Raw genomic sequence first — 26628 nt, 5'->3', positions numbered from 1 at the left:
TCTGATGAACATCGACGCAAAAATCCTCAATAAAATTCTGGCAAACCGAATCCAGCAGCACACCAAAAAGCTTATCCACCATGATCAAGTGGGCTTCATCCCTGGGATACAAGTCTGGTTTAACATATGCAAATCAATAAACGTAATCCAGCATATAAACAGAACCAATGACAAAAACCATATGATTATCTCAATAGATGCAGAAAAGGCCTTTGACAAAATTCAACAACCCTTCATGCTAAAAACTCTCAATAAATTAGGTATTGATGGGACATATCTCAAAATAGTAAGAGCTATCTATGACAAACCCACAGCCAATATCATACTGAATGGGCAAAAACTGGAAGCATTCCCTTTGGAAACCGGCACAAGACAGGGATGCCCTTTTTCACCACTCCTATTCAACACAGTGTTGGAAGTTCTGGCCAGGGCAATCAGGCAAGAGAAAGAAATAAAGGGTATTCAATTAGGAAAAGAGGAAGTGAAATTGTCCCTGTTTACAGATGATATGATTATATATCTAGAAAACCCCATCGTCTCAGCCCAAAATCTCCTTAAGTTGATAGGCAACTTCAGCAAAGTCTCAGGATACAAAATCAATGTGCAAAAATCACAAGCATTCTTATACACCAATAACAGACAAACAGAGAGCCAAATCGTGAGTGAACTCCCATTCACAATTGCTTCAAAGAGAATAAAATACCTAGGAATCCAACTTACAAGGGATGTGAAGGACCTCTTCAAGGAGAACTACAAACCACTGCTCAATGAAATAAAAGAGAATACAATCAAATGGAAGAACATTCCATGCTCATGGGTAGGAAGAATCAATATTGTGAAAATGGCCATACTGCCCAAGGTAATTTATAGATTCAACGCCATCCCCATCAATCTACCAACGACTTTCTCCACAGAACTGGAAAAAACTACTTTAAAGTTCATATGGAACCAAAAAGAGCCCGCATTGCCAAGTCAATCCTAAGCCAAAAGAACAAAGCTGGAGGCATCACGCTACCTGACTTCAAACTATACTACAAGGCTACAGTAACCAAAACAGCATGGTACTGGTACCAAAACAGAGATATAGATCAATGGAACAGAACAGAGCCCTCAGATATAATGCCGCATATCTACAACCATCTGATCTCTGACAAACCTGACAAAAACAAGAAATGGGGAAAGGATTCCCTATTTAATAAATGGTGCTGGGAAAACTGGCTAGCCATATGTAGAAAGCTGAAACTGGATCCCTTCTTTACACCTTATACAAAAATTAATTCAAGATGGATTAAAGACTTAAATGTTAGACCTGAAACCATAAAAAACCTAGAATAAAACCTAGACAATACCACTCAAGATATAGGCACGGGCAAGGACTTCATGTCTAAAACACCAAAAGCAATGGCAACCAAAGCCAAAATTGACAAATGGGATCTAATTAAACTAAAGAGCTTCTGCACAGCAAAATAAACTACCATCAGAGTGAACAGGCAACCTACAGAACGGGAGAAAATTTTTGCAATCTACTCATCTGACAAAGGGCTAATATCCAGAATCTACAATGAACTGAAACAAATTTACAAGAAAAAAACAAACAACCCCATCAAAAAGTGGGCGAAGGATATGAACAGACACTTCTCAAAAGAAGACATTTATGTAGCCGAAAGACACATGAAAAAATGCTCATCATCACTGGCCATCAGAGAAATGCAAATCAAAACCACAGTGAGATACCATCTCACACCAGTTAGAATGGTGATCATTAAAAAGTCAGGAAACAACAGGTGCTGGAGAGGATGTAGAGAAATAGGAACACTTTTACACTGTTGGTGGGACTGTAAACTAGTTCAACCATTGTGGAAGTCAGTGTGGCGATTCCTCAGGGATCTAGAACTAGAAATACCATTTGACCCAGCCATCCCATTACTGGGTATATACCCAAAAGATTATAAATCATGCTGCTGTAAAGACACATGCACACATATGTTTATTGCAGCACTATTCACAATAGCAAAGACTTGGAACCAACCAAATGTCCAACAATGATAGACTGGATTAAGAAAATGTGGCACATATACACCATGGAATACTATGCAGCCATAAAAAATGATGAGTTCATGTCCTTTGTAGGGACATGCATGAAGCTGGTAACCATCATTCTCAGCAAACTATCGCAAGAATAAAAAAACAAACACCGCATATTCTCACTCATAGGTGGGAATTGAACAATGAGAACACATGGACACAGGAAGGGGAACATCACACACCTGGGCCTATTTTGGTGTGGGGGGAGGGGGGAAGGATAGCATTAGGAGATATACCTAAGGTTAAATGAGGAGTTAATGGGTGCAGCGCACCAACATGGCACATGTATACATATGTAACTAACCTGCACATTGTGCACATGTACCCTAGAACTTAAAGTATAATAATAATAAATAAATATATATATATACACTCAGATCTTTCTAGGCAGTGGGCAAGGTGAACCCATTGGGTGGTTACAATCAAGCATAAAAAGAATTAATTACATGGAACTAAATGAACTCATAAGGAATATTATAATTTTTAAATTACTTTTTTGATTGAGATATTGCTGGTTCTTTAATATTTTGTTTTTCAAATTAAAGAAAACTTCTTCTCTTTTTCTCTCAAGCTGTCTATACCTTACAACAATCTGGGAAACTATAAAGAAAAATAAAATATTTATTTGTTTTCTCTGCCTGATCTCTCTAGATTTGGAAACTATTGTTGATTATTCTTATTTTCAAGGCAATATAAATATATGAATAAGTTCAATAAGAATATGTACTTTTTATAACAGAAAATAACTAGAAACATTGGTTATATTGCTAAGCCTTTGACTGGAAGGTCATATTTGAAAATAATATGTATAGAATCAGATATGACTAGAAAGTTTTAAGGAACTAAATTTGATTTCATGGGGCCAATGATTACAAAGACCCTTCGAAACTGGCCTTGGACCTGGCTTACAGAATTCTCAGCCTTACATGTGAATAAGGAAGGTCACTTCCCGGCAGGCTCAGGAACCTCCAAATACATTGAGTATCTTGGGAAGAGTGGATTTCACCCAAATCTATAGGTGCCACAGGCAAAGACTGATGGCAAGTCCATTGGCTTGGTATCCTAGCCTCCAGGCGCTTTTAAAAGTCTAATCTGAGATTCCTTATCATAAGTTCCAGGGAAGCAAATTCAAAAAAGGACCTATGTGGTCAAGTACATTCTTGCTGCACTAATGTAAATAATGAGGAAAAGTTTAATGGGGTTGGACTTATTTTGCTATCAAATTAGTCTTACTTTGATAGAATTGGAAGTAACTATAGAGAATAAAATTATTCCAATATTATTTCAAACATAGAATCTAATCCTGTTCTCTGTCTTTGAAACTTTGTTATGTCTCTGTAAAGTAGACTAGATCATGCTCAATTCTAGCATCCTCCAATACCTGATTATAACTCTTCAAATTAATGTTTCCAGTTTTTCTCTCACCCTCTTAAGTTGTTACCACTGAGGGTTAAAACCTTACTGCTCAGGTTCTTGTTAGGAATATCTAAAGAAGCCCTGGACATTGAGACTGGAAACTTCCATACTATGCTCTGAGAAGTAACCGTAACTCTTTCATCACCAGAGGCATTCAGACTACAAGCCAGGAAATTTATTGAATGGCTACTTCCATTCTCATGCCATCATCTAAAGACACTTTGAGCCAAATGTCCTGAAATCCTGAGTGACTGCCTTCTGGAATCAAAAACAGAATTTACAGTTTGTTCTAACCAGTTATCTTTTTCATCTTTGTTTTTTTTTTTTTTTTTCACAGAAATGTGCCTTACTAAATGCTTGATTGTTCATACCATCTAGAGGAGTTCGGGGAGGGGAGCTCCCTATTTCTACCTTTATGGTGTCTCCCGAAATGAGATACAATTATTTAACTGAACTATCCTCTTCCTAGGACTGACAGACTATTTCAATGGGATATGGGACAATCTACCAACTCAGTTTTTGGACTGTAAAACTTCCTGGGGGAAGTTTCAGTTGGGGTAATAATAGGTTCAGTACACAATACCCCCAAATATGGCACCTTGGCATGCTGAATACATATATATTTTTGATACAGGATCTTGCTCAGTCACCCAGGCTGGAGTGCAGTACAGCAATCTTGGCTCACTGCAATCTCCACCTCCCAGGCTCACGTGATCCTCCCACCTCAGTCTCCTGAGTAGCTAGGACTACAGGTGAATGCCAGCATGCTCTGGTAATTTTTGCATTTTTTTGTAGAAACGAGGTCTCACCATGTTGTCCAGGCTGGACTTGAACTCCTGGGCTCAAGCAATCCACCTACCTCAGCCTCCCAAAGTGCTGGCATTACAGGTTGTGAGCCTCTGTGCCCAGCCAGCATACTGAATATTATAACCTCAAGAGAAACCACTAGTGCAGGAAAATACCTCTGACAGTCCCCTGAAGCAGAACATAAGACCATCATGTAAGAAGTACTCTCCAAATACCCAGAGGAAAGGAGCATTCTTATCTCTGAGGATGAAGGAACACAGAGAAATCTGAATGAACAGAACTTGCCAACATTTCTCCAGTCTACTGCTTTTAACTCATACCCCTTTGTCCTATCACATTTTTCCATGGTTTTCCATAATAATATGCTTATTAGGCAATATAATAATAGGCAATATAATAGGCTTTCCAGGCTAGTAATAGGCAATATAATAGGCTTTCCAAGCCTATTGTAAAAGCACTGAAGTTTAATCACTTTGGGGGTCTTTATTTCCTTAGGAAGCCTATGTTATACAAAACTTATATTAAATAAAAGCAAAAATTTCTATTCTTTATTCTTGTTAATCTGTTTTTGGTTACAGAGCCCAAGCTGAGAATCTATAAGAGCAGGAACAAAATACTTTTCTTCCCGAGGTAAGTATGGACAAATTGCTCTCCAAGTGGTTATAACATTTTATATTCCAACCAGCAGTATATAAGCACTCCTCACTTTGTCCTTAATCATATTGTTAACTACCCAAGGTCAGTTAAATCAATCCTGGGAAATAACTTTTTAAAATAAGAAAATGCCGTTCTTTCATCACTTTCTTTAGAAGAAAGTGAGCCCATCCATTACTTGTTCATTTATTTTCAAATAAAAAATGTATTTCTCTTTTATTTCTCCTTTCCTTTCTTCATTCTACTTTTCACCATTTCCACCATTTTGTCAATCCTGCTCATAGATATAAGCATGAGAGTGTTGTTAGCAATACGTCTGAATGTCCAGTTTACATCAAAATTAAGAACATGCAAATAATGTATGCTAGAGTTAAATCTAATACATATTCAGTCTCCAAATCTCTAGTCTTTCAAATTGTTCAGAATCTCTGCAAAAGTTTCTAACTAATCTTACTAATCCTCCAATAATTAAATCGTTTTTTCAAATTTGTCTAAATGCACACACATACCGCAATCCACACACCACTATATCACTATTTTCTGTATGCTTGTCTGCATTATATACTTTTTTCTACTGAAAGCACAAAGTATTTCAGCTTTGTAATTCAGAATTGGGCCCAAATCTACACTTACGAAAAGGGTTCCTCTGGGCAGGAGACTTTATATCTCTGAGCCTTAGTTCCCTTCTCTGTACCTAATAGTGTTTGTTTTTAAGGGTTAAATATGTAATCTCAAACGAAATAATAATAACTTATTATGGATTTTAGTCAACCAGTGAATAAGGGGCAATAACATAGTTCAGATTTTATTTATTGAAAAGTCATACCTTATTTTCATTTAGAATAATAGGTTAAAATTAATTACCATTTCAGGCTCTGATTTGATAAACTAAAGCAAATTCTTAACTCAGGAATTTGAGGGGAAGGTTTTGGGATGAAACTGTTTCATCTCAGATCATCAGGCATTAGTTAGATTATCATTAAGGAGCACATAATCTAGATCCCTTGCATATACACTTCACTATAGGGTTCTCACTCCTATGAGAATCTAATGCCACTGTTGATCTGACAGGAGGCGGAGCTCAGGCAGTAATGCTCGCTCACCTGCTGCTCAACATCTGCGGCTCAACTTCTGCTGTATGGCCCTGCTCCTAACAGGCCACAGACCGCTACGGAGGAATCCTGCTCTACAACACTGGTTACTGTTTGCTTGCCCAGATTCCACTTCAAGATTCACATGTCCTTGTTGCCTTGCATTTATTTGCTCCTTTAGCTTATCTGCTTTGACTTTTTTTTTTTTTTTTCTTTTTTGAGACGGAGTCTCGCTCTGTCGCCCAGGCTGGAGTGCAGTGGCGGGATCTCGGCTCACTGCAAGCTCCGCCTCCCGGGTTCACGCCATTCTCCTGCCTCAGCCTCCCAAGTAGCTGGGACTACAGGCGCCCGCCACTACGCCCGGCTAAATTTTGTATTTTTAGTAGAGACGGGGTTTCACCGTTTTAGCCGGGATGGTCTCGATCTCCTGACCTCGTGATCCGCCCGCCTCGGCCTCCCAAAGTGCTGGGATTACAGGCGTGAGCCACCGCGCCCGGCCGACTTCAGTTCTAATATATGTCCATCCTGCTTTTCCTTACCTTGTTTTTCAGTTGTGGCACCTGTATTCTTTTAAATCCCTGATGGAGGCAATGTGACAAAGCAGAAAGTCAGGCAGACGAGGATTCTAAATGTAGCTCTGGACTACGTATGTGACATTTTAATTATTAAAACTCCCTGATGCTCAATTTCTTCATCTGGTAATCAGTATGATGCTGCCTTTGCATGATTATTGATAGACTTACATCTGATAATCTTTGTAAATGGCCAGCAAACACCTAAAAAATAGTAGGGAATACTGCCTTTTTTTTTTTTTTTTTTTTTTTTTAACCATCCCCTTTTTTCTTTCTTCTCAATTTGTTTTCAATAGACTGTAAGTTCATGAAGACAGGGCCAATGCCTGCCTTGTTCTTTCTTGTAACAACCACAGAACATAGAATAGTGGCACGGTTCAGCTCCACTTAAAGACATAGTACCTGTCTGAAGGAAAGAAAGGAATAAAAAAAGAATCAATCAATGAATCATTCATCTTCTGACTTAAATCCAATTTCAACTACTGCTTCTACATCTCACAGCAGATCTGTGTGCCTGAATTCCATTTTTCATTTTTGTCTTTTTCTTTATTTTTATTCTTATTTTTATTTTATTATTATTATACTTTAAGTTTTAGGGTACATGTGTACAATGTGCAGGTTAGTTACATATGTATACATGTGCCATGCTGGTGTACTGCACCCATTAACTCGTCATTTAGCATTAGGTATATCTCCTAAAGCTATCCCTCCCTCCACCCCCCACCCTACAACAGTCCCGAGAGTGTGATGTTCTCCTTCCTGTGTCCATGTGTTCTCATTGTTCAATTCCCACCTATGAATGAGAATATGCAGTGTTTGGTTTTTTGTTCTTGTGATAGTTTACTGAGAATGATGATTTCCAATTTCATCCATGTCCCTACAAAGGACATGAACTCATCATTTTTTATGGTTGCATAGTATTCCACGGTGTATATGTGCCACATTTTCTTAATCCAGTCTATCATTGTTGGATATTTGGTTGGTTCCAAGTCTTTGCTATTGTGCATAGTGCCACAATAAACATATGTGTGCATGTGTCTTTACAGCAGCATGATTTATAGTCCTTTGGGTATATACCCAGTAATGGGATGCCTGGGTCAATTGGTATTTCTAGTTCTAGATCCCTGAGGAATCGCCACACTGACTTCCACGATGGTTGAACTAGTTTACAGTCCCACCAACAGTGTAAAAGTGTTCCTATTTCTCCACATCCTCTCCAGCATCTGTTGTTTCCTGACTTTTTAATGATTGCCATTCTAACTGGTGTGAGATGGTATCTCATTGCGGTTTTGATTTGCATTTCTGTGAGGGCCAGTGATGGTGAGCATTTTTTCATGTGTTTTTTGGCAGCATAAATGTCTTCTTTTGAGAAGTGTCTGTTCATGTCCTTTGCCCACTTTTTGATGGGGTTGTTTGTTTTTTCTTGTAAATTTGTTTGAGTTCATTGTAGATTCTGGATATTAGCCCTTTGTCAGATGAGTAGGTTGCGAAAATTTTCTCCCATTTTGTAGGTTGCCTGTTCACTCTGATGGTAGTTTCTTTTGCTGTGCAGAAGCTCTTTAGTTTAATTAGATCCCATTTGTCAATTTTGGCTTTTGTTGCCATTGCTTTTGGTGTTTTAGACATGAAGTCCTTGCCCATGCCTATGTCCTGAATGGTAATGCCTAGGTTTTCTTCTAGGGTTTTTATGATTTTAGGTCTAACATTTAAGTCTTTAATCCACCTTGAATTAATTTTTGTATAAGGTGTAAGGAAGTGATCCAGTTTCAGCTTTCTACATATGGCTAGCCAGTTTTCCCAACACCATTTATTAAATAGGGAATCCTTTACCCGTTGCTTGTTTTTCTGAGGTTTGTCAAAGATCAGATAGTTGTAGATATGCAGCGTTATTTCTGAGGGCTCTGATCTGTTCCATTGATCTATATCTCTGTTTTGGTACCAGTACCATGCTGTTTTGGTTACTGTAGCCTTGTAGTATAGTTTGAAGTCAGGTAGCGTGATGCCTCCAGCTTTGTTCTTTTGGCTTAGGATTGACTTGGGAATGCAGGCTCTTTTTTGGTTCCATATGAACTTTAAAGTAGTTTTTTTCCAGTTCTGTGGAGAAAGTCATTGGTAGCTTGATGGGGATAGCATTGAATCTATAAATTACCTTGGGCAGTGTGGTCATTTTCATGATATTGATTCTTCCTACCCATGAGCATGGAATGTTCTTCCATTTGATTGTATTCTCTTTTATTTCATTGAGCAGTGGTTTGTAGTTCTCCTTGAAGAGGTCCTTCACATCCCTTGTAAGTTGGATTCCTAGGTATTTTATTCTCTTTGAAGCAATTGTGAATGGGAGTTCACTCATGATTTGGCTCTCTGTTTGTCTGTTATTGGTGTATAAGAATGCTTGTGATTTTTGTACATTGATTTTGTATCCTGAGACTTTGCTGAAGTTGCTTATCAGCTTAAGGAGATTTTGGGCTGAGACAATGGGGTTTCCTATATATACAATCATGTCATCTGCAAACAGGGACAATTTCACTTCCTCTTTTCCTAATTGAATACCCTTTATTTCCTTCTCCTGCTTGATTGCCCTGACCAGAACTTCCAACACTATGTTGAGTAGGAGTGGTGAGAGAGGGCATCCCTGTCTTGTGCCAGTTTTCAAAGGGAATGCTTCCAGTTTTTGCCCATTCAGTATGATATTGGCTGTGGGTTTGTCATAGATAGCTCTTATTATTTTGAGATACGTCCCATCAATACCTAATTTATTGAGAGTTTTTAGCATGAAGGGTTGTTGAATTTTGTCAAAGGCCTTTTCTGCATCTATTGAGATAATCATGTGGTTTTTGTCTTTGGTTCTGTTTATATGCTGGATTACATTTATTGATTTGCATATATTGAACCAGCCTTGCATCCCAGGGATGAAGCCCACTTGATCATGGTGGATAAGCTTTTTGATGTGCCGCTGGATTTGGTTTGCCAGTATTTTATTGAGGATTTTTGCATCAATGTTCATCAAAGATATTGGTCTAAAATTCTCTTTTTTGGTTGTGTCTCTGCCAGGCTTTGGTTCAGGATGATGCTGGCCTCATAAAATGAGTTAGGGAGGATTCCCTCTTTTTCTATTGATTGGAATAGTTTCAGAAGGAATGGTACCAGTTCCTCCTTGTACCTCTGGTAGAATTCAGCTGTGAATCCATCTGGTCCTGGACTCTTTTTGGTTGGTAAGCTATTGATTATTGCCACAATTTCAGAGCCTGTTATTGGTCTATTCAGAGATTCAACTTCTTCCTGGTTTAGTCTTGGAAGGGTGTATGTGTCGAGGAATTTATCCATTTCTTCTACATTTTCTAGTTTATTTGCATAGAGGTGTTTGCAGTATTCTCTGATGGTAGTTTGTATTTCTGTGAGATCGGCAGTGATATCCCCTTTATCATTTTTTATTGCATCTATTTGATCATTCTCTCTTTTCTTCTTTATTAGTCTTGCTGGCAGTCTATCAATTTTGTTGATCCTTTCAAAAAACCAGCTCCTGGATTCATTAATTTTTTGAAGGGTTTTTTGTGTCTCTATTTCCTTCAGTTCTGCTCTGATCTTAGTTATTTCTTGCCTTCTGCTAGCTTTTGAATGTGTTTGCTCTTGCTTTTCTAGTTCTTTTAATTGTGATGTTAGGGTGTCAATTTTGGATCTTTCCTGCTTTCTCTTGTGGACATTTAGTGCTATAAATTTCCCTTTACACACTGCTTTGAATATGTCCCAGAGATTCTGGTATGTTGTTTCTTTGTTCTTGTTGGTTTCAAAGAACATCTTTATTTCTGCCTTCATTTCGTTATGTACCCAGTAGTCATTCAGGAGCAGGTTGTTCAGTTTCCATGTAGTTGAGTGGTTTTGAGTGAGTTTCTTAATCCTGAGTTCTAGTTTGATTGCACTGTGGTCTCAGAGAGAGTTTGTTATAATTTCTGTTCTTTTACATTTGCTGAGGAGTGCTTTACTTCCAACTATGTGGTCAGTTTTGGAATAGGTGTGGTTTTGTGCTGAAAAAAATGTATATTCTGTTGATTTGGGGTGGAGAGTTCTGTAGATGGGTATTAGGTCCGCTTGGTGCAGAGCTGACTTCAATTCCTGGGTATCCTTTTTAACTTTCTGTCTTGTTGATCTGTCTAATATTGACAGTGGGGTGTTAAAGTCTCCCATTATTAATATGTGGGAGTATAAGTCTCTTTGTAGGTCACTCAGGACTTGCTTTATGAGTCTGGGTGCTCCTGTGTTGGGTGCATATATATTTAGGATAGTTAGCTCTTCTTGTTGAATTGATCTCTTTACTATTATTTAATGGCCTTCTTTGTCTCTTTGATCTTTGTTGGTTTAAAGTCTGTTTTATCAGAGACTAGGATTGCAACCCCTGCCTTTTTTTGTTTTCCATTTGTTTGGTAGATCTTCCTCCATCCTTTTATTTTGAGCTTTTGTGTGTCTGCATGTGCGATGAGTTTCCTGAATACAGCACACTGATGGGTCTTGACTCTTTATCCAATTTGCCAGTCTGTGTCTTTTAATGGGAGCATTTAGTCCATTTACATTTAAAGTTAATATTGTTATGTGTGAATTTGATCCTGTCATTATGATGTTAGCTGGTTATTTTGCTCGTGAGTTGATGCAGTTTATTCCTAGCCTCGATGGTCTTTACAATTTGGCATGATTTTGCAGTGGCTGGTACCAGTTGTTCCTTTCCATGTTTAGTGCTTCCTTCAGGAGCTCTTTTAGGGAAGCCCTGGTGGTGACAAAATCTCTCAGCATTTGCTTGTTTGTAAAGTATTTTATTTCTCCTTCACTTATGAAGCTTAGTTTGGCTGGATATGAAATTCTGGGTTGAAAATTCTTTTCTTTAAGAATGTTGAATATTGGCCCCCACTGTCTTCTGGCTTGTAGAGTTTCTGCCGAGAGATCAGCTGTTAGTCTGATGGGCTTCCCTTTGTGGGTAACCCTGCCTTTCTTTCTGGCTGCCCTTAACATTTTTTCCTTCATTTCAACTTTGGTGAATCTGACAATTATGTGTCTTGGAGTTGCTCTTCTCGAGGAGTATCTTTGTGGCATTCTCTGTATTTCCTGAGTCTGAATGTTGGCCTGCCTTGCTAGATTGGGGAAGTTCTCCTGGATAATATCCTGCAGAGTGTTTTCCAACTTGGTTCCATTCTCCCCATCACTTTCAGGTACACCAATCAGACGTAGATTTGGTCTTTTCACATAGTCCCATTTTTCTTGGAGTTTGTTTCTTTTTATTCTTTTTTCTCTAAACTTCCCTTCTCGCTTCAGTTCATTCATTTCATCTTCCATCACTGATACCCTTTATTCCAGTTGATCGCATTGGCTCCTGAGGCTTCTGCATTCTTCACATAGTTCTCGAGTCTTGGTTCTCAGCTCCATCAGCTCCTTTAAGCACTTCTCTGTGTTGGTTATTCTAGTTATACACTCGCCTAAATTTTTTTCAAAGTTTTCAACTTCTTTGCCTTTGGTTTTAATTTCCTCCTGTAGCTCGGAGTAGTTTGATCGTCTGAAGGCTTCTTCTCTCAACTCATCAAAGTCATTCTCTGTCCAGCTTTGTTCCGTTGCTGGTGAGGAGCTGCATTCCTTTGGAGGGGGAGAGGTGCTCTGCTTTTTAGAGTTTCCAGTTTTTCTGCTCTGTTTTTTCCCCATCTTTGTGGTTTTATCTACTTTTGGTCTTTGATGATGGTGATGTACAGATGGTTTTTTGGTGTGGATGTCCTTTCTGTTTGTTAGTTTTCCTTCTAACAGATAGGACCCTCAGCTGCAGGTCTGTTGGAGTTTTCTAGAAGTCCACTCCAGACCCTGTTTGCCTGGGTACCAGCAGCGGTGGCTGCAGAACAGCGGATTTTTGTGAAGCACAAACGCTGCTGCCTGATAGCTCCTCTGGAATTTTTGTCTCAGAGGAGTACCCGGCGGTGTGAGGTGTCAGTCTGCCCCTACTGGGGGGTGCCTCCCAGTTAGGCTGCTCGGGGGTCAGGGGTCAGGGACCCACTTGAGGAGGCAGTCTGCCCGTTCTCAGATCTCCAGCTGCGTGCTGGGTGAACCACTGCTCTCTTCAAAGCTCTTAAACAGGGACACTTAAGTATGCAGAGGTTACTGCTGTCTTTTTGTTTGTCTGTGTCCTGCCCCCAGAGGTGGAGTCTACAGAGGCAGGCAGGCCTCCTTGAGCTGTGTTGGGCTCCTCCCAGTTCGAGTTTCCCTGCTGCTTTGTTTACCTAAGCTAGCCTGGGCAATGGTGGGTGCCCCTCCCCCAGCCTCGCTGCTGCCTTGCAGTTTGATCTCAGACTGTTGTGCTAGCAATCAGCGAGACTCCATGGGCCTAGGACCCTCCGAGCCAGGTGCGGGATATAATCTCCTGGTGTGCCGTTTTTTAAGCCCATCGGAAAAGCTCAGTATGGGGGTGGGAGTGACCTGATTTTCCAGGTGCTGTCTGTAACCCCTTTCTTTGACTAGGAAAGGGAAGTCCCTGACCCCTTGCACTTCCCGAGTGAGGCAATGCGTCGCCCTGCTTCGGCTCGCACACGGTGTGCTGCACCCACTGTCCTGCGCCCACTGTCTGGCACTCCCTAGTGAGATGAACCCGGTACCTCAGATGGAAATGCAGAAATCACCCGTTTTCTGCGTCACTCACGCTGGGAGCTGTAGAGCGGAGCTGTTCCTATTCGGCCATCTTGGCTCCAGCCCCTGTCTTTTTCTTAATTCTTTCAATTCCACTTTACCTCACCACAAACTACCCATGGCCCTCAGTGGGCTTCTCATAAAATACAGAAGTCTTAACTTTCACTTACTATTTAAATATGAATGCTAACAGCCAAATTATCGTAGATATTGAAAGATTTGCCATGTTTTAAAAATAATCTATTTCATCATTTAATGAGTAGTGTGTTTCTAAATATAGTACTATTTTCTTGTTTTGAAAGGCAAAAGTTTCTTCAAAGACATTCTCACTTAAAAAAATAACTAGCATTAGAGATAATTTTCAGATAAATCTTAATGTCAACAAATACCGAACTCTTCACTTACTCCTGTATGTTTTTTGGCAGAATTGTTTTCTCTTTTCTTTTTTTTTTTTTTTTTTTTTTGAGATGGAGTCTTGCTCTGTCACCCAGGCTGGAGTGCAGTGGCACGATCTGATCTCTGCTCACTGCAAGCTCCGCCTCCTGGGTTCACACCATTCTCCTGCCACAGCTTCCTGAGTAGCTAGGACTACAGGCACCCACCACCACTCCCAGCTAATTTTTCGTATTTTTAATAGAGACGGGGTTTCGCCATGTTAGCCAGGATGGTCTAGATCTTCTAACCTTGTGATCCGCCTGCCTTGGCTTCCCAAAGTGCTGGAATTACAGGCATGAGCCACCGAGCCCAGCCAGAATTGTTTTTTCTAACATTATTGAAAAAAAAAAAAATTTAAGGCTAAAATATTGCAGTCACAAGGCATTTTATATAGAAAGCACTGGCTAATTTTGATTTGTATCTTCGCTAGTATAAATAGATGCAAAAAGTTTGGCCATTGATTTGTACTACTGAAAGGTATAATGAAAAGCAGCCAGAATTCTTTTTAAGTAAATAAGATGAAGTGTTCTCCATTTGTTTTCAGGGAAATCAGTTAACATACCTCATCTTGTAAAATTATATAGTATAGTAGATTTTACCTGTCATTTACGTATCTTGAATTATTTTGTCATTAATCATTATTATCCGATAATTTAGCTTTCTAGTGGTAAAGTAGTTATTAAGAAGGAAATACCTTTGTGCTTAAAAACTCATACTATTGCCTGTCAAGCCTAGTCCAAGGTATTTGAACACTACTTAAAAATGCTAAAAACAGGCCGGGTGCGGTGTCTCACGCCTGTAATCCCAGCACTTTGGGAGGCCGAGATGGGTGGATCATGAGGTCAGGATATAGAGACCATCCTGTCTAACATGGTGAAGCCCCGTCTCTACTAAAAATACAAAAAAAATTAGCCGGGCGTGGTGGCGGGCGCCTGTAGTCCCAGCTACTCGGGAGGCTGAGGCAGGAGAATAGTGTGAACCCGGGAGGCGGAGCTTGCAGTGAGCCGAGATCGCTCCAGTGCACTCCAGCCTGGGCAACAGAGTGAGACTCCATCTCAAAAAATAATAATAATAAGAAGAAGAAGAGTAAGAATAATAATAATAAAAGGTTAAAAACAGAGAAGTGAAGCATATGTCTGACTTGGCTATTCTAACAGCTATTACGTAATAGAGTCAACTCTCACTTATCTGTGCTAAGATGGGTAGAAGCATTGGATTCTTACGGTGGAACCCCTAGATAATCATTACTTTTGGCACTGTTACCAACCCTTAAAAGACGTGCCAATGAAGAGCAACAACACTATTCCAGTTCCACCTGCCTGCCCTCTGGTGGACATGCTAATGAGCAGTGAAATGGCTACAGAAAGGACAGCTGGTGTGAGTGGGAAGCTTATTCACAAATAAGTCATCTTTCTTTATTACTGTGAAATACACATATAAATGATTTTGATTTCATGTCTAACAATTATACATTTATCAGGGACATCATTCTGTAGAAACACAACTAACGTTAGAGCGTTTGTGAACCTTTTTATTCCTTGCCTCTTCTCTCATCCATTTGGAAGGTCACCTAGTCAGATGAATAACAAACACTAGGTTCAGCTGTATAGTTAAGTTCAGCTTTGCTTTGTACAGGACTGTGATTCTTTTACTCAGAGCCTGAAAGGCAGATGTCATTCTGGGAAGTTTTACCCTCAATTATGAAGACATAAAAATACAGGAAAGGTTTAAAAAAAAGCGTAAGAGAAAATTCAGCTGCTGTGAAGTGGCAATGGAATAGCTCTTGCAAATTTCACAAGCTTTGGCTGTGCTCCCTGAAAAATCAGCAGCAGCAATGTCCTTCAGGCAGCAGCTGTCACTGCAAGCAAAGAAGCAGCACTGGAAAGAAAAAGAAGGGGCTCCTCTGCAGACAGAGAAAACAGCTGATGCATAAAAATACAGATAGGGCTGAAATTAGCAACAAGTTGCTGACTATTTTTTCCTTTTTGTAAAGTTCACTCAGCTACTAAGATAGATGTAAATTAAACTTTAGAGACAATGTGGTATCTCAAGTGGAACTGTGAAGGAATCATACCCTAGGCTGAGGACAAGTTTGATTTAAGATCCTACTACTTTTAGGCTCCATTTTCTGACGAGGGTGCACCATATTTAACTAAACCATTCAGGAAGCAGATTCAGCTACCTATTAAACACGTGGCAGTTTCAAAATGTTCAGGATTCTCTGCCCAGCACTCACATTACTCAGCTGTCATAGTAAAGGGCTCAGATATATGATGTGAAAATTACATTTTAACGAGGTGTCATGTGTGTTTAAAGTTCTTATTCATCACTACACAGCCACAGCTTTTACTGGAGATACAAATGCACTTAATTTGCATATTATAAGGACAGAAGGTGCACCATATCCTCATTGTTAAACTGTTATGTGTAGGCTTTTTGTTGGTTTAGATTCTACCATCTTTAGCGTACATAAGAATGGTTATATTTACATAATCTCAAACGGCTTTCAAGAAAATGTGGATTGTGTTTGGGAAGCAGAACAGCAGGTAACAAGACAGTAGCTACATCTCTTTATCATTCTATTGTTAGTACTTATTGCTGGATGTGTTTTTCACTAAATCTCAACCAGTAGATTTTTAGATCTGTTAGACATACTAATTTTAGGAAATTTTTGAAACTCAGCTTCTATGCCTGTTATTACCAATTTGAACCTACTTTCCCATCCTCCTTCAGTAGCAAATACTGGAAAACACGTGAATATTTAACAAGGAAAATTAGAATGTTTGATGGACAGCTTAGAAACAAACTGTAGGAGTCAAAGAAAATACCTCTCTTCTCACTGTTCTTTATTAATGAATAATCAATTTGGCAGAAGGTGGTTTGGGAGAGAGAAGAGTTAAAGGTGAAAGTCAGTCAAAACCAGGCACTAATCATAGCTAAAGGTAAGTGATGCAACTATCTGACCCCCTCCCACCAGCTGTATCAGGATAGAACATATGGTTTTAGAGTTATGATGCTCATGTGAGAATCACTCAAATAACCTGCAAAGCAGCTGAGTATTATTTGAACATTTTAAATGTACATCTTACAAAAAATAGCCAGTTAAAGGTAATAATAAAGGTATACTTTTATATTGTATTTTATAAGATAGGAAATAGGCTCAGGTGAAAGTATATTTGAAGAAAATTCTAGATTTGATAGTTCTGTATCTGGTGCTCTGCCCAGAAAAAACAGAGGAAGTGCTTTCACATGTACTTTGTACTCAAGTGCTAATGCTTAAAATCATTTTGGTACCTGTGTCCAAAGCTGAATCACTGGTTCTTTAGACAAAATGTATTTTCAAGAGAACACAACTATTATGCATTTCTAAAAATAATATATTTTCCATTTTCTTCAAGTTGAAGAAATCCCTACAATTTGTCAACTAAACAATTTATGTTCTTAATATAGAATTCTTTAAACAGTTGCCCACTTTCTTCCATACTGTAAAATTACTGACTTTAATTTCTTCTGGAAGAAAACACATTACGTATTAATGTACTTCTGTTTATCACACGCTAAACTGCCCCTTAGATTACCAAAGCTCACAACAATGTGGGTGAAGCAAGGGAGAAGCTGGTGGTACAGGGTGGGGGGAGTGACTTACTAAAACTTAGATTATAGATCCATGTGCTGACAGTGAAGATGACTACCTGAGGAGCATACACGTAATCTTAATAAATCACATTTAGAAATTATACTCCTATTCACCTAGTATCTTGAAAAAGCAGATTTAAAAAACATAGTCCATTTATCCATTTAATCATTCAACAGTCTTTACAAAGCACCAAGTATTTATCAGACATTTTATGAATTTGTAGATGGGCTGGGTTCAGTGGCTCCCACCTGAAATCCCAGCACTTTGGGAGGTCAAGCTACTCAGGGGGCTGAGGCTCGAGAATCGTTTGAACCCAGGAAATGGAGGTTGTAGTTAGCCGAGACTGTGTGGCACTGCACTCCAGCCTGGGCAACACAGTGAGACTCTGTCTCCAATCAAAAAAAAAAAAGTAATTTGTAGAAGAAACTGACTAAAACAATATCAATAAGATTATTACAATATGAATCAAAGTCTACTTAGTTCCAAAAAAAACTTTTTATAAAAAATTAGAGATGCTTTGCATTTGTATTTTCCTTAATATGTGAAATATAACTATATTATTTAAAATTTTAAGAAATTATTTGCAAATATATTTGCTATATGAATGCTAAATAGCAGTATCAAAATAAGTTCTGATTTATGTTTCCACCAATTTCATGCTGAGAAATGACAAAAATGCTGGCAATTTTACATTTAATATCATGCAGAATAGGTGACAACAGGATAGTGTTCCAAAAGTAATGTTTTTAGAGAAACATAGTAAATGAATTTTAAACTTCTTCTAAACTTTGCCAAGAAAAACTGGCCAATTAACGATTTTTTTCAAGGAGAAACTTCACTTAGAGTCTCTGAAAGCATTTTAAATACAAGTTTAAAAAGTCAATTGAAATTAATTTCTTAACATAGCTATTGTTGAAAACAGTGTTTCACAGATTGTACCATTTCTCAAGACATTTCTTCTGAAAAATAATGCAAACATACATGTCATACAATTGGGTAGCTCAACAAAAGGTAGGGATTTTAAAAAATGTGACAATTAAAAGTCAGGGGATGAGTGTTAGGAAAAGTAAGGAACTGGAATTAATAACTCCTGAAACCACTTTTAGAATACTTTGAGGAGTTAAGCTTTTTTTTCATGTCTTTCCTCCAAGGTTACCATTTCAGACTTTAAAAATGACACTTGTAGAATGTAAACTAGTACAGCCACTATGGAAAACAGTGTAGAGATTCCTTAAAGAACTAAAAGTAGAACTACCATCTGACCCTGCAATCCCACTACTGGATAGCTACCCAGAGGAAAAGAGGTCATTACACACAAAAGGTACTTGCACACGTATGTTTACAGCAGCACAATTCGCAGTTGCAAAAGTATGGAACTAGCTCAAATGCCCATCAATCAACGAGTGGATAAAAAAACTGTGATATAAATATATAGAATGGAATACCACCCAGGCATAAAAAGGAATGAATTAATGGCATTCACACCAACATGGATGGACTTGGAGACTATTATTCTAAGTGAAGTAACTCAGGAATGGAAAACATCGTATGTTCTCACAAGTGGGAGCTAAGCTATGAGGATGCAAAAGGCATAAGAATGATACAGTGGACTTTGGGGACTTGGAGGAAAGGGTGGGAGGGGATGAGGGATAAAAGACTACAAATTTGGTTCAGGTATAATGCTCGAGTGATGGGTGCACCAAAATCTCACAAATCACCACTAAAAAACTTACTCATGTAACCAAATACCACCTGGTCCTCAAAAACTTATGGAAGTAATTTAAAAAAAAAGAAAAAATGGAATGATAAAAAGACTAAAAAAAAAGACCCTTATAAAAACAAATCATTTGATTTCATGGTTGAAGAGTAGATACAATTTTTAGAGTACAAATACATCGTGATTAACTTGTAATACGAACTACAAGTGATGTTTGTATCTAGAGGGTGCCTGGTGCTAACATCTGGACAATTTTGGAATAAGTTATATGAGCTGCAGTGCTTTAAAAGGGCCTTCATTTAGAAAATGTGGATAAAAATGGTCCTTGTAGGGTTACTGCAAATCTATTAGGTTGTTACTGTATTGTGCCTATTACATATATTTTCTCATTAAAATATAACAATAATCTTCTGAGGTTGGAGTTATTTTTTCCATTTTATAGTCTGAGGAAATCGAGACTGAAGACTGAACAACCTGCCCATAGTCAAACAAGAGATAGAGAGAATTCAAACCCACGTCCTTCTGACTCCCAAGCTCATGTTCAGAAGCCTATGCTACCTATGTGTAACCATCACCAAGTGTCACCAGAGGATCTTTATATACCCAAGAGAAGTATATTTGCCTTTTATTTTTCAACACCAGATCTTTTTACAGGAGACATAAAACATAGATACCCCTTTATATAAAAATCTTCAAAAGAATGATTTTTCATTGATTGGAATACAGTTAAAATCATGGCAAAAAGACTCAGCCTGCTACCAACAGATGGTAACGACAAATACACTTTGGGTCTACAGATTTAGGATTAGTTTTTGACTCTAACATATTTGTAATAAGTTGAGGGTTTCTGTACATAGACACATAGGACCCAAAATAAAATGGTAATAAGAATTCACTAAAGGCAATTTCTTTGGGGAAAAAAAAAAAAGTCAATGTAATTTACTAAAGAAAAATACCCAGCTGAAACTGTTTGTGTGAAATAAGATAAACAGCCTCTATTAACGTTAATTGAAATTTTCCTATCAGCACATATCATGCATGCAATTTATTTCTATACATATTCTTTCCACCTCTAAACTGCAATAAGTCCATGCTAAAGCACTAGCTTTTCAATTTGAGCATTCATGCATGAAAATTGATAGTTTTTTGTGATTATACTGACAAATTTAACAGGTGAAATTTCACTATTTGTAAAACAGACAAAGTCTTAATTGTCGTTGTTCAAAAGGAATGAAATTCAATCTCCTGACTTAAGTTACGAATTCATTTTAAAAGCTGAAGTCTATCACTTCTTAATGTTTGCTACTTCAATAGCATCCTTTTATTTATTTATTTATTTTCTGAGATGGAGTCTCGCTCTGTCACTCAGGCTGGCGTGCAGTGGCACAACCTCAGCTCGCTGCAACCTCCGCCTCCCAGGTTCAAGGGATTCTCCTGCCTCAACCTCCCTAGTAGCTAGGATTACAGGCACCCACCACCACACCAGACTAATTTTTTTGTATTTTTAGTGGAGATGGAGTTTCACCATGTTGGCCAGGCTAGGTTTTTGAACTCCTGACCTCAAGTGATATGCCCGCCTTGCCCTCCCAAAGTGCTGGGATTACAGGCAAGAGCCACCACGCCCAGCCTTCAATAGCATCCTTTTAACAAATATCGGCACTAGTACGTGAGGGTGAGATGGACCATGTTTTAACTCCCATAAACAGACAAGCAAATACATTTTTAAAAATTAAATGAAGGTATAATTTTCCTTATGTTCACAATTACAATGATTCATTCTCTTACCCCCCCATATGTATGTACATACATACATATGGAGGGGGATATGTACATACATATGGAGGGGGATACATGACTATATGAATATATAAACATATAACAATAACCATATGAATATGTATACTAATACACATATGACTATACATTTATACATATATGTATAGTACAAAAAGCATATAGTCATATATGTGTATGAGTATATTCATATGTTTATTATATGCTAAAATTGTATGTATGCTAAAAATATTTTTGGCAAGTTTTTAAACACATGGGATTATGGTACCATCTTATTCGTTAAAGACAACTTAATAAAACTGAGTTAAGAACTTGGTACCATCTTATTCGTTAAAGACAACTTAATAAAACTGAGTTAAGAACTTGCTTTAGTTTATCAAATCAGAACTTGAAATTGTAATTAATTTTAACCTATCTATTATTCTAAATAAAAATAAGGTATGCTCTTTTAAATAAATGAAATTTGAATTATGTTATTGCCTCTTATTCACTGATTACCTAAAAAAATAAGTTATTATTTATTATTCCTTTGAGATATTAGAAATCATTTCTTGTTCCAGTTAAGAGTCAAAAAAGGCTAAGAACCATCCATAACAAAGTTTTCACTAACCAAACATAAATTTTAGTTTAAGAATATCACAGCTATGAAAGGAGTGTCTTCTCAGAATATTCTAGATAATGGATTATTGATCAGGTTTTAAACTGTAGAATGCAGTGGGTTAAAAAAACAAACAAAAAACCTTACCTGTACAGCGGTGAGTCAGACAATAGAGTTGGTCTAGGAGATTTTGTTGAGGACTTAGGAGAAATTGCTTTTGTTGCTATTGCATATTTAGTCTTTTCTTTCCGTAAAAGCCAATTCAACGTAATATCAGCATTGCTGATTGTGGAAACAAGTGCTGTCACTCTGACTGAAGCCTCTCCATGATTAGAGAAAATACTACCTAATTTGTCATCCTATCTGAATAAGAAGTGAAAAGCCATTCATTCATTCATTCATTCCACAAGAGTGATTGAGCCTTATTATATATATGCGATGTATTACACTAGAGTCAGAGAAGACAAATAATGTTAAGAGAAAAATACAACAAAAGAAAGAGTAAGACAAGGCCATTGGCCATAAAAAACTTAGAATCTACTTCAGTAAAAAGATATGCATATACTAGACTAAGTTAGAAGAATGTCATGCTAATAAAAGAGTAATTTGAAACATAATGCAGAAAATAAGAAATATTAACAGGATTGCACTTTATTTTAGCAAAGGTTTTGTGCACTTCACTATATAAAGAACTAACCTGCTGAAAATGTTAAATGCCCTTCAAAGAAGGAGGGCTAAAAATTGGAGTTGAGCAAAACAAAGGAGAGTCAATTTCTTGTAGTTATACATTTTTACAGCTGAACGGCAAAAATAATTTAATTTTCGAATTGCTATATTACCATCAAAATTCAGACACCTCTATCTTAGTTTTCCATTATACTTTATCTTGGAGAAGACTGTTATGGCTAGTTGATATGGTTTGACTCTGGGTCCCTACCCAAATCTCATCTTGAATTGTAATCACCATATCCCCACATGTGGAGGGCAGGACCTGGTGGGAGGTGATTGGATCATGGGGGCAGTCTCCCCTGTGCTGTTCTTGTGATAGTGAGTAAGTTCTCATGAAATCTGATGGCTTTATAAGGGACTCTTCCCCTTTCACTTGTTCATTCTCTTTTGCCTGCTGCCTTGTAAGACATGCCTTTGCTTCTCTCTCACCTTCTGCTATGATTGTAAGTTTCCTGAGGCTTCCTTAGCCATGTGGAACTGTGAGTCAATTAAACCTCTTTCTTTTATAAATTACCCAGTCTTGTTTATATCTTTACAGCAGTGTGAGAATGGACTAACATAACACACTAGCTAAAAATTTTAACCTTTAAGAGAATGGTGTTCAGTTGAGTACATAAAAATGAAAAAAAAATTAAAGGTATTTATGATTGTCTTTAAACAACATTAAAAGGAAATGGTATGTTTTCAATGGAAAAGGGGCACTTTTAAAGAATTACAATTAAAACTCTATAAAAAATTGCAATGTCTTATACAAATTGAGGTATATTTTTACTGTACTTATCAGTTATGAACATTTTTCTCAACATACAAATTAAGTTAATTCAGAACAGACAGACTCAAACTGACAACCTTCCCAAAATGGGAGGTCAGATATGATGCACTCTGTGAGATGACTACATTGGTGCGGGCTCCTGAAACATAATATCAAGTTAACCCTTTGACAAGTTCCAAGTAGACAGCACTTCTGTGGGCATTTCACAATTAATTAGACAGGCTGTTTAGACGGGCTGTTCTATTTTAGCAATGGTTTTGTGCAGTTCACTACACAAAGAACTAACCTGTTGAAAATAACAAACACCCTTCAAAGAAGAAGAGCTGAAGACTGGAGTTGAGCAGAACAAAGGAGAGTCTACTTCTTGTAGTTACACATTTTTATAGCTGAAAGTGATCAGCAGCAACCTTCTTTAGATGCAAAGACAAAGAACAATTTTCAGGTACACAGGCCAGAATACCACAAATAAAGTTTAATAAAAACATAAAATGAACTTGCTGAGAACAAACAGTAAATATTTCCCCAAAGAGTACCACAAAAGGTTGAACTTACCTGATCTACTATCCAGAGGTCCAAAATCCAAAGAATATTTCACGACGTGATAGTTATTCCATACATAAAGTAGGTTGTCCCTGGGGTTGTAATCCACAGCTGCAATGTACTGGTATGAATTAGGAAAGGGTACATCCACCAAACTATCCTTGCTTTGGTCAGTGTTGTAAATGTAGTCAATCTTATTTCCAGTAGCCTCATTGTCATCATCCTCATATACAGATTTGACCACATACAGAATTCCACAAATCATAAAGGCATTGGAAGCTGACCTTTTATCATATGCAGTATCCCATGTTCCTTCGATCCGTAGGGTGTAAGGGTTCAATTGACTAATGACAATTTTACCATTGTTTTGTTCTGTTGCATAGATTACCCATAGCCCATTCTCATCTACTGCCAGGTCTATGTCAGATTTGCCTCCCCATCGGTAAGGGGAGGTATCATGGTAATTGGCATTTGCTATGATAGCCTCTCCACTCTTTATCCTAGTCCGCAAATCAAACTTTACTATGTTCCTGGTGCGCTCTTTGTTGAAGAACAAAGCTCCATCATACACTACAAATCCTGTGCCATCCACCCTGTGAGGGAGCTTGTAGGTTGTAGTTGGTCTTCCAGCAATGAAGTCATCCTTGGATGAATACTCAGTCAGGGTATCAGTTCTGTAGGGAGTCCAGGGCATATAATAAATCTTGTCAGATGCCTGCAGAGGGTCTTTGCACCACGCCCCAGATTGGTGGTCGGACTCAAACAAATGTTCACTCTGGTATACTCCTTTTAGTAGTCCAGGACAAAGAAAAACTGTTGGAAGGGAAACAGTTAAAATAAATAAATATATTAATTTCATATTTTGTTATATAGTCTTATTTTTCACCAAATGGAATGCAACTCTAACAAGAGATACCCACCATCACTTATTTTGCTGCATTCTTTTAAGAACACAAAGTATTCTTCCACATTAATTTTGGCTTCATTTCAAAATCATTTTGATTTTGATAACTGAAAAATATCTAGCCTTTTTGTGAGTAGCTGTGCATTCCTGTGATTGTTACCTTTGTAAATATGCTACAATATTTTTGGAAACATATATCAGATGTAACATATGTCTATGTATTCTATAGACATATAAGAAATACAAATGTTTACACACAATACTTTTAATAGTTCATTGAAGAACATATTTTGAAACAAAAATATTGTTTCCATTCTGATGAAATTCACCATTCAGTAGTTATCATTAAGAAACAGATGAATATCTCATAGTAATTTTTTGATAAAGGAAAAAGAAAAGCCCTGTAATACAGGCCACTGAATCTTTTAGCAAAAAAGCTCTCAACGTTGCTACAACACACACAGAGCATGCAACCCACACAATTAAAAATGAGTGATGGATGGATACTGGAAGGAAAAGAGAAAGGAAGAAAAAGAAAGGAAAGAAGGAATAAGGAAAGAAGAAAAGGTGAAAGGTTACAGAAAAGAACCCAAGATCTAGATTTTAATCAGTTAAAAATGTCCTGTTAAATACAGTAGTATTGGAACTTAAAAACATGTACCTTTTACTGTTACATGAGAAGAGCATTAAAACCCAAGATTACTTGCTATAATATTTTGCTGCTCATACTTCAGGATGAAAATGGCCAAGAATCATCTGATTCACTTGATTTTTAGTATGATTCAGTAGCATATCATGTGAATGGTGGTAAGAAAGCCTGGCTGATTCATCTGTAGTGAAGGGGCTATAAAGCAATGTTTCCCAAAGGGTGGTCCTTGAATCACATGTTTCAAGTGGCATAGCTAGATGTTACACAGAAAGGAAAAAGGGATCCTTAGCCACATGTGTGTAAGAAATGTTATATTACATATAATTGTGGCAGAGATTCTAATTGCTTAAGTACATTCGTGAATCTCCAAGGCAGAAGTGGGAAGGGTGAGCAAATTTCACACACTAATTGGATCATGGCACCTTTATCATAGAGCTTCTTTGGAGTATAGAATTCCGCTGAACCTACCATGGGAAACACTGCTCTAATATATTTGCAAAGCAAACACACTGAAAAATAATCATGCAGTCTACTGTTATGTTTGGAATGATTAGAAGTGTACTGGGTGAAAAAATTAGAAAATCACAGTAATTTGGATATTGACCCTTTTTTAATGATTAAAGTATTATTATTTTGGCATTAGTGATTAGCTTTTAAACAGTAACTATAAGCATAGATGCAATGGAAAACAATCTAAGATGAAACTCAGGTAGGTTTTGGAGATTATCAAAAAGAAAAGTACATTACTAAAATGCCCAAAGTTTTACTTTTAGAGAAATAACAAGTTTGGGAACAGGCTAACTACCAAAATCTTCCATAGAAAGGATAGAGGGCCATCATCAATATACAATCCATAATAATATTGATTGTAAGAATTTCATATGCTTGCTATAATTATAAAGGATAAGTATCCATTGTTATCAAAATTGTATATAAGCTTTATGCTAAATAACCATCCTTGATGACTAAAGTAACTTACTTTAGGTGGTTCGAAAAACTTTTTCCCTTTTCCCCAAAATAGTTAAAAATTAATGGAATGGGGAAACCATGCCAGAGCTATGAAAAATTAACTAGCATAGAAATAAAAACAAATTAAAGCAACCACTATTCATCACCATGAGTTGGATTTCTAACTACTCAAAAATAAAGGGGAATAAAATACACTGTTGAAAATTTTATACTACTAAACTCTTCTTAGATAAAAGAAAGTGACTCTTGTCAGTAATACAGATTAAAGTGAAGTTGAGCAGCAGAAGTAGTAAATAAATTTTCATAAAATAGATAAGAATTAATAACAAAATTATTTTAACTAAATGTTAAACTGTTAAATAACTTAGCCTATAAATAGTATATAATTTATGAAAGGTATTTAATTACCTTTTTGTTCCACTTCTATTGGAGAGAGAGAAGTAAAGAGAGAAAGGAGAAAAGAGAATAGATTAATGGTACGGTATTGGCCAAGCACTTTTTATTCACCTCTTCCAAACTGAAAGTAAATAATTTATTTCACTCATACTTGCTTTATTGAACATTATATGTTTTAATAAAACCCATCTCTCTAATACAGTTATTTAAAAATA

General features: G+C 37.3%; 1 protein-coding gene across 59 annotated transcripts in view; it reads right to left on the bottom strand.

Moving 5' to 3' along the window:
- ADGRL3 (adhesion G protein-coupled receptor L3) overlaps positions 1-26628 on the bottom strand; it is an 878010-nt gene that overhangs the window by 321274 nt on the left and 530108 nt on the right. For 51 of the 59 annotated variants that reach the window (NM_001387552.1, NM_001322402.3, NM_001387522.1 and 48 more), the window contains 2 exons: positions 26426-26440; positions 23508-24308 (listed from right to left, as the gene is read on the bottom strand). In NM_001387552.1, the coding sequence (NP_001374481.1) occupies positions 23508-24308; positions 26426-26440 (816 nt within the window). The remainder of the gene's footprint in view (positions 1-23507; positions 24309-26425; positions 26441-26628) is intronic. The other 8 variants (NM_001387524.1, NM_001387546.1, NM_001371346.2 and 5 more) reach the window with 1 other exon arrangement.

Source organism: Homo sapiens, chromosome 4 (assembly GCF_000001405.40).
Source record: "Homo sapiens chromosome 4, GRCh38.p14 Primary Assembly".
Lineage (NCBI taxonomy): Eukaryota > Metazoa > Chordata > Mammalia > Primates > Hominidae > Homo > Homo sapiens.
Note: the sequence above shows the minus strand (reverse complement) of the source record. Positions and strands in the feature narration are given on the sequence as shown.